The sequence below is a fragment of the Homo sapiens genome, chromosome 19 (assembly GCF_000001405.40).
Source record: "Homo sapiens chromosome 19, GRCh38.p14 Primary Assembly".
Classification (NCBI taxonomy): Eukaryota; Metazoa; Chordata; class Mammalia; order Primates; family Hominidae; genus Homo; species Homo sapiens.
The window spans coordinates 4,802,335-4,813,892 of record NC_000019.10 but is presented as its reverse complement, the minus strand read 5'-3'; the positions used below and the strand labels follow the sequence as shown (position 1 = coordinate 4,813,892).

At 52.3% G+C, this 11,558-nt stretch overlaps 4 annotated features.

Moving 5' to 3' along the window:
* Positions 175-1,374: an enhancer, noted in NCBI's record as "P300/CBP strongly-dependent group 1 enhancer chr19:4812531-4813730 (GRCh37/hg19 assembly coordinates)". NCBI's record gives its function as "activates an origin of replication core promoter dependent on BRD2, BRD4, P300/CBP, MED14 and CDK7 cofactors, with strong dependence on P300/CBP, by STARR-seq in HCT116 cells {active_cell/tissue: HCT116}" and the evidence as "EXISTENCE:reporter gene assay evidence [ECO:0000049][PMID:35650434]".
* Positions 666-755: an enhancer, noted in NCBI's record as "active region_13782". NCBI's record gives its function as "activates an Ori minimal core promoter by ATAC-STARR-seq in GM12878 lymphoblastoid cells {active_cell/tissue: GM12878}" and the evidence as "EXISTENCE:reporter gene assay evidence [ECO:0000049][PMID:35858748]".
* Positions 906-985: an enhancer, noted in NCBI's record as "active region_13781". NCBI's record gives its function as "activates an Ori minimal core promoter by ATAC-STARR-seq in GM12878 lymphoblastoid cells {active_cell/tissue: GM12878}" and the evidence as "EXISTENCE:reporter gene assay evidence [ECO:0000049][PMID:35858748]".
* Positions 9,398-9,559: a silencer, noted in NCBI's record as "fragment chr19:4804346-4804507 (GRCh37/hg19 assembly coordinates)". NCBI's record gives its function as "represses an EF-1alpha promoter that drives an FKBP-Casp9 reporter gene in an ReSE screen in HepG2 liver carcinoma cells {active_cell/tissue: HepG2}" and the evidence as "EXISTENCE:reporter gene assay evidence [ECO:0000049][PMID:32094911]".

Here is an 11,558-nt window from a genome sequence, read left to right as displayed (position 1 = left end):
CTCTACTAAAAATACAAAATTAGCTGGGTGTGGTGGTGGGTGCCTGTAATCCCAGCTACTTGGGAGGCTAAGGCAGGAGAATCGCTTGAACTCGGGAGGTGGAGGTTGCAGTGAGCCGAGATTGCACCACTGCACTCCAGCCTGGGTGACGAGAGTGAAACTCCATCTCCAAAAATAACAATAAAATAATAAAATAAAAATAAATAGGGAGGCACGGTGTTGCAGGCCCGTTGTCCTGGCGTGTAAGGAGGCGAGGCCAGACGTTTGAGATCAGCCTGGGCAACATAGGAAGGCCTCATCTATATAACAAAAAATTAAATACATAAATAAACAAACACATTTTCATCCTCAAAATGACCCCTCAAGGTAGAAGCTTCTATTATGGACCCACCTTACAGATGGGGAAAACCGAGGCCTAAAGAGATTAATTCTGACTCCAAAACTCACACAGATCAGAAACGGGGAATCACAATGGAAGGAGCTGAACTTCCAAGGGAGGAAACAAAGGAGGGTCCTCGAAGGTGAAACTGGACTCACTGAGCTGGGAAGCTGAGGAGCCCCTCCCTCCTGACAACCTGATTTGACTTTGCAGGCTCCTTCCTCCATTGCCAGGCCACATGGAAGCAGGCTGGTGTGAATCACCCAGCAGCCATGCACTACTTGCTATTTTAGTTGTTGACTCAGACTTTGTCAGAGCTCTGGTCCCGGTGGCAGCCGCAGCGGCCCAGAAGTGAAACCTGGGGAGTGGAGTTCTGAGATGAGATTCCAGGGTGCAGTGAGGTTGTTCCCAACAAAGGGTTTCGGACCATCCAGGCCGGAACCAGCTGCAAATACCTGAGCAGGGGCAGTGAACTGGCTATTCCTTCATTTGACCAACGTTCATCCAGCGCCTACTGTGTGCTGGGAGTTGTCCCAGACAGCAGACAGAAGTGATTAGTCATTGGCTGTCATTTCCGTAGGGGAGGAGAGGAAGGAATAGTAAACAAATTATAAAAGAAGAAAGCAAAATAGTTTCAGAAAGTGAAGAGCCTTCGGGCTGGGTGCGGTGGCTCACCCCTGTAATCCCAGCACTTTGGGAGGCTGAGGCGGGCGGATCATGAGGTCAGGAGATCGAGATCATCCTGGCTAACAGGGTGAAACCTCGTCTCTACTAAAAATACAAAAAATTAGCCAGGCGTGGTGGCACGCGCCTGTAATTCCAGATACTTGGGAGGCTGAGGCAGAAGAATCATTTGAACCCAGGAGGTAGAGGTTGCTGTGAGCTGAGATGGGGCTATTGCACTCCAGCCTGGACAACAAGAGCAAAACTCTGTCTCAAAAACAAAAAACAGGCCGGGCGCGGTGGCTCACGCCTGTAATCCCAGCACTTCGGGAGACCGAGGCGGGCGGATCATGAGGTCAGGAGATCGAGACCATCCTGGCTAACACGGTGAAACCCCGTCTCTACTAAAACTACAAAAAATTAGCCGGGCGTGGTGGCGGGCACTTGTAGTCCCAGCTACTCGGGAGGCTGAGGCAGGAGAATGGCGTGAACCCGGGAGGCGGAGCTTGCAGTGAGCCGAGATCGCACCACTGCACTCCAGCCTGGGCGACAGAGCGAGACTCCGTCTCAAAAAAAAAAAAAGAAGTGGTGGTGGGAGTGTCTCAGGAGAAAGAATTTCAGCAGGGGTGGCCGAAGGGGCTCTCTAGGAGGGGGTGTTGGAGTTGAGACCTGGGGGGAAGAAAAGGAGTCAGTCATGGGAAGAGCTGGAGGTGAAAGTGGGAATGACCTTCTAGGCAGAGGGCACAGCCCATGCAAAGGCCCTGGGGGCAGATGGCACCTGGTGTGTTGGAGGAACAGCGAGGAGGCTGGAGCAGAGTGAGCGACGGGCAGAGAGGGAGGAGGGGAGGGCGAAAAGGGGATGGGGCAGGTTAAGCAGGGCCTGGTGGGTCATGGGGAGGTCTTGGGCTTTGACCCCCAGGCGGGTGGGAGCCATGCAGGGCTGTGGGCAGAGGAGGGACAGGACCTGACTCCAGTGCTCACAGGTGCCCTCTGGTGGCCGCTGCAGGGAGGACAGACCTTGGTGGGCCAGGGCTGATGCTGGGGCACCAGGGTGGAGGCGACTGCACTGGTCTGGGTGAGTGATGTTGGCTGGGGCTGGACCAGGTAGAGACAAGAGCAGAGGAGATGTGGGCACATTCAGGGCCTGCCCAGTTCAGAGGACCCTTTCCTGTTCCTTAAAGTGACTGAAAAAGAATTCGGCCCAGGAACCTTCACTTGTCCCAGGTCAGCCAGGCTGGCCTCGGCAGCAGGAACAGCGGGTTCAAGCCCCTGCTTCTCCCTGAGATAGTGTGGCACTTGGGGCAAGACACAGCCTTCCTCTTCCTCTTCTTCTTCTTCTTCCTCCTCCTCCTCTTCCTCTTCTTCTTCCTCTTCCTCCTCCTCTTCCTCTTCCTCTTCTTCTTCTTTCTTCTTCTTTCTTCTTCTTCTATTTTGTGACAGAGTTTCACTCTTCTTGCCCAGGCTGGAGTGCAATGGTGGAATCTCGGCTCACTGCAACCTCCGCCTCCTGGGTTCAAGCAATTCTCCTGCCTCAGCCTCCTGAGTAGCTGGGATGACAGGCACCCACCACCACATCCAGCTAAATTTTTTTTTTTTTTTTTTTTTTTTTTTTTAGTAGAGACAGGGTTTCCTCATGTTGGCCAGGCTGGTCTTGAACTCCTGACCTCAGGTGATCCACCTGCTTCGGCCTCCCAAAGTGCTGGGATTACAGGCGTGAGCCACCGCGCCCGGCCGGCAGCCTTTTTCTGGGCCTCATCTTCCTCATTTGTACCATAGACCTCACGTCTGGAACTCCCATTCCCAGCTGTCTCCACATACCTCCTGTAGATCTGTAAAGCAGGGTCATTTTGAATGCCCTGAGGGTCGGGCACGGTGGCTGACGTCTGTAATCCCAGCAGTTTGGGAGGCCGAAGTGGGAGGATCACATGAAGCCAGGACTTTGAGATCAGCCTGGTCAACACAGTGAGAATCCTGTCTCAATGAAATGAAATGAAATAATGAAATAAAAAGCCAGGCTTGGTGGCACCCACCTGCTGTCCCAGCTACTGGGAGGCTGAAGCAGGAGGATCCCTTGAGCCCAGGAAGTCAAGGCTGCAGTGAGATATCATGGTGTCACTGCACTCCAGCCTGGGTGACAAAGCTGGACCTTGTCTCAAAAAAAAAAAAAAGCTCAGGCTCCTTGGCTCACGCCTGTAATCCCAGCACTTTGGGAGGCCAAGATGGGAGGATCATTTGAGGTCAGGATTTAAAAGACCAGCCTGACCAACATGGTGAAACCCTGTCTGTACTAAAAATACAAAAATTAGCCGAGCGTGGTGATGCGTGCCTTTAATCCCAGCTACTCAGGAGCCTGAGGCAGGAGAATTGCTTGAACCTGGGAGGTGGAGGTTGCAGTGAGCCGAGATCACGCCACCGCACTCCAGCCTGGGCTACGGAGTGAGACTCTGTCTCAAAAAAAAGAAAGAAAGAGGCCGGGCGCAGTGGCTCACACCTGTAATCCCAGCACTTTGGGAGGCCCAGGCAGGCGGATCACGAGGTCAGGAGATCAAGACCATCCTGACCAACATGGTGAAACCCCGTCTCTACCAAAAATACAAAAAAATTAGCCAGGCGTGGTGGCGGGCGCCTGTAGTCCCAGCTACTCAGGAGGCTGAGGCAGGAGAATGGCGTGAACCTGGGAGGCGGAGCTTGCAGTGAGCTGAGATCGCACCACTGCACTCCAGCCTGGATGACAGAGCGAAACTCCATTAAAAAGAAAAGAAAAGAAAAGAAAAGAAATCTATGTTGTCCAGTGCTGGAGACAGACAGTATTAGGCAGTTATGGGGTGATGGGGGCTCTGATGGGGAAGCTGTGGGACCCCAAAGGGGACCCTAGACTGGCCTGGGGAGATTAAAGGAAGTTTCTGAAAGAAGGAAGTAAGCTAAGACCTCAGGCCTTCATTGGAATGAGCCACGGGCGGGGAGAGAGTTCTAGAAGGTGGTACAGCATGGGTGAAGGTCTGGAAGGTCTGGAAGGCAGCTCCAGGCAGGACCAGGTCCCCAGCTCTAGGGGCTCAGCTGCGATTTGCGCTGCCCCAGCGCCCTCTGGTGGCCACCGCCCGCCGGCCCCACGTGGCCACGAAAGCCCAGATTCCCTGGGAGCCTAACAGCCTTGAAGAAAAATAGGAAGAAAAAAAAATAAGAAAATGTCCCATTTATTTCTTTATTTATTTTGAGATGGAGTTTTTGCTCTTGTTGCCCAGGCTGGAGTGCAGTGGCGCGATCTTGGCTCACTGCAACTTCCACCTCCCGGTTTCAAGCGATTCTCCTGCCTCAGTCTCTCAAGTAGCTGGGATTACAGGCATGCACCACCATGCCCAGCTAATGTTGTGTTTTTAGTAGAGACGAGGTTTCTCCATATTGGCCAGGCTGGTCTCGAACTCCTGACCTCAGGTGATCTGCCCGCCTTGGCCTCCCAAAGTGCTGGGATTACAGGCGTGAGCCACCGAGCCCGGCCCAATGTCCCCTCTATTTAAAAACGGTGAAATGTGAATAAATAACAGAGGATTTCTTTCTGGAAGTCAGTATACACACAGCCAGACCGGGCTGGGCAGCTATATGTGCCTGCTTGGAATGATCTCTTTCTGATACATATTTTTTTGAGACCAACTCTTACTCTGTCGCCCAGGCTGGAGTGCAGTGGCCTGATCTCAGCTCATTGCAGCCTTCGCCTCACAGGTTTAAGCAATTCACCTGCCTCAGCTTTCCGAGTAGCTGGGATTACAGGCATGCGCCACCACGGCCAGCTAATTTTTGTATTTTTAGTAGAGATGGGGTTTCACATATGTTGTCCAAGCTGGTCTTGAACTCCTGAGTAGCTGGGATTACAAGCATGCGTCACCATGCCCAGCTAATTTTGTATTTTTAGTGGAGACGGGGTTTATCCATGTTGGTCAGGCTGGTCCTGAACTCTTGACCTTAGGTGATCCACCTGCCTCGGCCTCCCAAAGTGCTGGGATTACAGGCCTGAGCCACTGTGCCCGGCATTTATTATTATTATTGTTTATTTTTTATTTTTTGAGATGGCGTCTCGCCCCGGCACCCAGGCTGGAGTGCAGTGGCGTGATCTCCACCTCCTGGTTCAAGCGATTCTTGTGCCTCAGCCTTCCAAGTAGCTGGGATTACAGGGGCCCGCCACCACACCCAGCTATTTTTTATATTTTTAGTAGGAGACGGGGGTTTTACCATGTTGGCTAGGTTGGTCTCGAACTCCTGACCTCAGGTGATCTGCCCACCTCGGCCTCCCAAAGTGTTGGGATTACAGGCGTGAGCCACTGCGCCTGGTCCTGTTATTTCTTAAGTGGAGACATCAGTGGTTTTTACTGTATTCACTATATTATGCAACTATTGCCACTATCTAATTTCAGAAACTTTCATCACCCCAAAAAGCAGCACTGGAACCATCAGCTGACACTGCCCACTGCCTCCCCCCAGCCCCGGCACCCATGCATCCCCTTCCTGTTTCTGTGGATGAGCCTGTCCTGAACATTTCACAGAAATTGGATCACGTGGCCGGGCGCGGTGTCTCACACCTGTAATCCCAGCACTTTCGGAGGCCAAGGCAGGTGGATCACAAGGTCAGGAAATCGAGACCATCCTGGCTAACACGGTGAAACCCCGTCTCTACTAAAAATATAAAAAAATTAGCCGGGCGTGGTGGCGGGCGCCTGTAATCCCAGCTACTCGGGAGGCTGAGGCAGGAGAATGGCGTGAACCTGGGAGGCAGAGCTTGCAGTGAGCCGAGATCACGCCACTGCACTCCAGCCTGGGCAACAGAGCGAGACTCCATCTCAGAAAAAAAAAAAAAGAAAGAAATTGGATCACACACTGTGTGGCCTTTTGTGTCTGCCTTCTCTCACTGAGCAAAACATGAATATGTTTTCTGATGCCCATCCTATTTTTTGAGACAGGGTCTCATTCTGTTACCCAGCCTGCAGTGCAGTGGCAAGATCATGGTTCACTGTAGCCTTGAACTCCTGGGCTCAAGCGATCCTCCCGCCTCAGCTTCCCAGGTAGCGGGGACTACAGGCAGGCACCACCACACCCGGCTAACTTTTGTATTTTTTTGTAAAGACAAGAATCTCACTATGTTACCCAGGCTGATCTCAAACTCCTGGGTTCAAGCGATCCTACTGCCTTGGCCTCCCAAAGTACTGGGATTACAGGCGTGAGCCACTGCACCCGGCCCTTAGTTTCTTCTAGAAGCATCTGTTGCCCTCCTGGGCTTGGCATGATGCTGAGCCTTTGCCAGGGGTCACCCTGCTGCTCAAGCTAGAGACTGCATGACCCAGACCCTGCGGGCTCCCTCCAGGAACTGAAAGAGGAAGTTTCTGAGGCTGCACAGCCAGGACCCGCTTGGCCCCTCTGGCCATGAAAATAAAGGGCCCTTCTGGAAGGCAGGGGCCAGGGTGCAGCTTCACTTCCTACAGGCTTTGCACCAGAACAGAATTTCCAGAAGTTCCCCCAGGATCCTCTTCCTGTCCTGTCCTTCCTGTGAAACTATTACCATCCACCACCCACCCCAGCCGCATGTCCCAGAAATTGCTCTGCTCAGCCAGGCGCGGTGGCTGACGTCTGTAATCCCAGCACTTTGGGAGGCTGAGGCTGGTGGATGACTTGAGCCCAGGAGTTCGAAACCAGCCTGGCCAACATGGTGAAACCCCGTCTCCACAAAAATTACAACAAATAGCTGAGCGTGGTGGCACACGCCTGTAATCCCAGCTACTTGAGAGGCTGAGGCAGGAGAATCGCTTGAACCCGGGAGGCAGAGGTTGCAGTGAGCCGAGATCTCACCACTGCACTCCAGCCTGGGCGGCAGAACAAGACTCTGTCTGAAAATAAATAAATAAATAAATAAATAATAAAATAAAATTGGCCGGGCACTGTGGCTCACTCCTGTAATCCCAGCTACTAAGGAGGCTGAGGCAGAAGAATCGCTTGAACCTGGGAGGCAGAGGTTGGAGTGAGCCGAGATCTCACCATTACACTGCAGCCTGGGCGACAGAGCGAGATTCTGTCTCAAAAAAATACAATAAAATATAAAATAAAAAGAATAAAAAGAAACTGCTCTGCTCAAGGTCCTTGGTGATCTTGTGTTGTTAAATCCAGGGTCAGTTTTACATCTGCCTTGACCTCTGGCCTTTGTCACTCTGCTCCAGCCATGTGAGCCTTCCCGTTGTTCCTATAACATGTTGGGTGCGGTCCTGCCTCAGGGCCTTTGCACAGGCTGTGACTTCAGCCTGGAATGCCCTTCCCCCAGGTACCTACATGGCTCCCTCATCACTTGCTTCAGATCTTTGCTCAAACATCACCGTCTGGCTGAGCTGGTGGTGGGCACCTGTTGTCCCAGCTGCTCCAGAGGCTGAGGTGGGAGGGTCGTTTGAGCCCAGGAGTTCGAGGCTGCAGTGAGCTATGATCAATCACGCCACTGCACTCCAGCCTGGGCGACAGAGCGGGATGCTGTCTCTTGATTCCCTGTGGTATCAAAGGCCTCACCCTCTCCATGCGTGCTCCTCATTTAAAATTCATTCAAGGCTGGACATGGTGGCTCACGTCTGTCATCCCAGCACTTTGGGAAACCGAGGCAGGGGGATGCCTTGAGGTCAGGAGTTCAAGACCAACCTGGCCAACATGGTGAAACTCCATCTCTAACAAAAATACAAAAAATTAGCTGGGCCTGGTGGTACCTGTAAAAAAAAAAAATTAAAAAATTAAATAAAATTGGCCGGGCACTGTGGCTCACGCCTGTAATCCCAGCTACTCAGGAGGCTGAGGCAGGAGGATTGCTTGAACCTGGGAGGCAGAGGTTGCAGTGAGCCGAGATCATACCACCGCATTCCAGCCTGGGTGACAGAGCAAGACCCTGTCTCAAAAAAATAAAAATTAATATAATATAATATAATATAATATAATATAATATAATATAATTCATTCAAAACAGAACCCACCAGATCCCCTGAATAGGCTTCATCTTTCCACAGCACTTTGGAGTTTGAGACAAATACAATCAACTTATTCATGGCCCACATGTCTATGGTCTGCCTGTCCGTGGGCTTTATTGTGGGATCCCAAGGTATGGTCTATAGCAGATGCTCAATAAATGTTTGAATTTGAATTGATCCCCAAGTCTTTTTTTTTTTTTTTTTTTTTTGAGATGGAGTTTCACTCTTGTTGCCCAGGCTGGAGTGTAGTGGTGCTATCTCGGCTCACTGCAACCTCTGCCTCCCGGGTTCAAGTGATTCTCCTGCCTCAGCCTCCCAAGTAGCTGGGATTACAGGCACACGCCACCATGCCCAGCTAATTTTGTATTTTTAGTAGAGACAGTGTTTCACTGTGTTGGTCAGGCTGGTCTCGAGCTCCTGACCTCAAATGATCTACCCGCCTCGGCCTCCCAAAGTGCTGGGATGACAGGTGTGAGCCACCACACCCGGTGGATGCCCAAGTCTTTTTAAAAATTAATTAATTAATTAATTAATTTATTTATTTATTTATTTTTGAAACAAGGTCCCACTCTGTCACCCAGGCTGGAATGCAGTGGTCTGATCACAGCTCACTGCAGCCTCAACACTTCCAGGCCAAGCAATCCTCCCACCTCAGCCTCCTGCGTAGCTGGGACCACAGGTGCACACCATCACACCCAGGTAATTTTTGTAAAGATGGGGTTTTGCTGTGTTGCCCAGGCTGGTTTCAAACTCCTGGGTTCAAGTAATCTGTCCAGCTCAGCCTCAGGCTCGCAAAGTGCTGGGATTACAAACATGCACCACCATGCCCAGCTGCTTTTTTTTTTTTTTTGAGACAGGGTCTCACTGTTGCTCAGGCTGAAGTGCAGTGGTGCGATCACAGCTCACTGCGGCCTGGACCTCCCAGGCTCAAGCAATCCTCCCATCTCAGCCTCCTGAGTAACTGGGATTACAGGCATGTGCCACCACACGCAGCTAATTTTTTTGTATTTTCAGTAGAGACGGTATTTCACCATGTTGGCTAGGCTGGTCTCGAACTCCTGACCTCAAATGATTCACCTGCCTCATCTTCCCAAAGTGCTGGGAATACAGGCGTGAGCCACTGTGCCCGGCCCTACATTTTTTGTAGAGATGGAGTTTCACCATGTTGCCCAGGCTGGTCTCGAACTCCTGGGCTCAAGCAATCCTCCCGCCTTGGCCTTCCAGTGTTGGGACTGCAGGCATGAGCCTCTGCGCCTGGCCTCAAGTCAGTTTTTCCGTTTCTCGATTCCACGTTCGCTTCCTGCTAGCCGGTGTATTTTGTTCATTCCCCCCATTATCCGTTCATTCCCTCGTTGAGCAGTGTGTATTGAGCATCTACTGTATGCCTGGGATGGCTTCAGATCGAGTGAACGCTGTTTTCTGGGACGGATCCCGTTGCTGCCCTCATAGGGCTCACAGCTCCAAGGGGAGGCAGACACAGGAATGGGTGGTCTCGTGTGGGCTTGCCCTGGGTGTGATGGGGATGCAGAAGTAATAGGGGGTGGGGACCCGGGGACAGGGACCTGAACCCACCAGTAGTGCTCAGAGCTCTCTGCAGCCCCCAGGAAGGAAAGGGCACTCCAGGTGGAGGGCATGGCACAGGTAACAACCCTGAGGGGTAGGAGGGAGCGTGGACCCTCCGAGGGACCGAGGGGAGCCAGTGTGGCCCACCGTGGTGCAGGCCTTGTGTCCCCCAAGCCTGGAGGCAGGGGGCGCATGAACTATCTGTGGGGACCCAGAAGGTGCCGCAATGAGCCAACAGTGTCACCAGAGGGCACCATCGGACAGCGGTTCCAGCCTCTCCCGACCCCGGCTGAGGAGGGGACGGTCCCTCTTTCCCGGGCCTGCTCCAAAGAGAGAGCCCAAAGGGGGCTCCCTGAAAAGTGCCCAGTCCCCAGCCATGCCAACAGCCCCCTCGTCCCTCTGTAAATTGCAATAATAGGCCTGGTGCGGTGGCTCACGCCTGTAATCCCAGCAGTTTGGGAGGTCGAGGTGGGTGGATCACCTGAGGTCAGGAGTTCAAGACCAGCCTGGCCAACATGGTGAAACCCCATCTCAACTAAAAATACAAAAATTAGCCAGGCGTGGTGGCAGGCACCTGTAGTCCCAGCTATTCGGGAGGCTGAGGCAGGAGAATCACTTGAACCCGGGAGGTGGAGATTGCAGTGAGCCGAGATGTCACCACTGCACTCCAGCCTGGGTGACAGAGCAAGACTCCACCTCAAAAATAAATAAATAGGCCGGACATGGTGGCTCACGCCTGTAATTCCAGCACTTTGGGAGGCCGAGGCGGGCGGATCATGAGGTCAGGAGATCCAGACCACCCTGACTAACACGGTGAAAACCCGTCTCTACTAAAAACACAAAAAATCAGCCAGGTGTGGTGGCGGGTGCCTGTAGTCCCAGTTACTCGGGAGGCTGAGGCAGGAGAATGACTTGAACCCAGGAGGCAGAGGTTGCAGTGAGCTGAGATCGCGCCACTGCACTCCAGCCTGGGCAACAGAGCGAGACTCCGTCTCAAAAAATAAAAATAAAAATAAAAATAAATAAATAGATAAATAATACATTGCAACAATAATGACAGCCAAATACCTATCCCCATCGGCAGGTCACCAGGGCTTTCTTTGCCCCATTGTGCAGATGGAGAAACTGAGGCACAGAGAGGTAGTGTCGCTTTGCAAAGTCACACAATGAGACTGCAAGGCCGGGACTAGGATGAGCCAGAAAGGCCCCTCAGAGACAAATTAAAGCCAGAGTTAATCGTCAGGGGTGCGCAGGTGTGGGATCTTTGGAAATCACTGTCTAATGTTGTTTCCAGCCCAATTGGAGCCCAGAGGGGGCAGATGCCAGCCTGAGGCCACACAGCAGGCTCTTCTCCAGTCCCCTCCCCCAAGAGTGTCTCGCTGCAGCCCTGGGGTTTGCCTGGGCTCACAAATGCCATCCCCAAGTGCCCCTGGGCGGGGATCTTTTATTTTTAACCTGTTCACTGGCTGTGGCCTTATTATAGCCCTGGGAGGCTGCCACGGTTTCCAGTTTCCAAGGGAAGCTGCAAAACTTTTTATCTTCCCAGGAAAAGGAGTGTCTGGGCGCAGTGGCTCTTTCCTGTAATCCCCATATTTCGGGAGGCTGAGGTGGATCGCTTAAGCCCAGGAGTTTGGGACCAGCCTGGCCAACACAGTGAGACCCCTGTCTCTATTTTTATTTTTTATTATTTATTTATTTATTTTGAGACAAAGTGTTACTCTGTCGCCCAGGCTGGAGTGCAATGGCACGATCTTGGCTCACTGCAACCACTGCTTCCTGGGTTCAAGCGATTCTCGTGCCTCAGCCTCCCGAGTAGCTGGGATGACAGGCATGCACCACCACACCCAGCTAATTTTGTATTTTTAGTAGAGACGGGGTTTCGCCCATGTTGGCCAGGCTGGTCTTGAACTCCTGACCTGAAGTGATTCTCCCGCCTCGGCCTCCCAAAGTGCTGGGATTACAGGCGTGAGCCA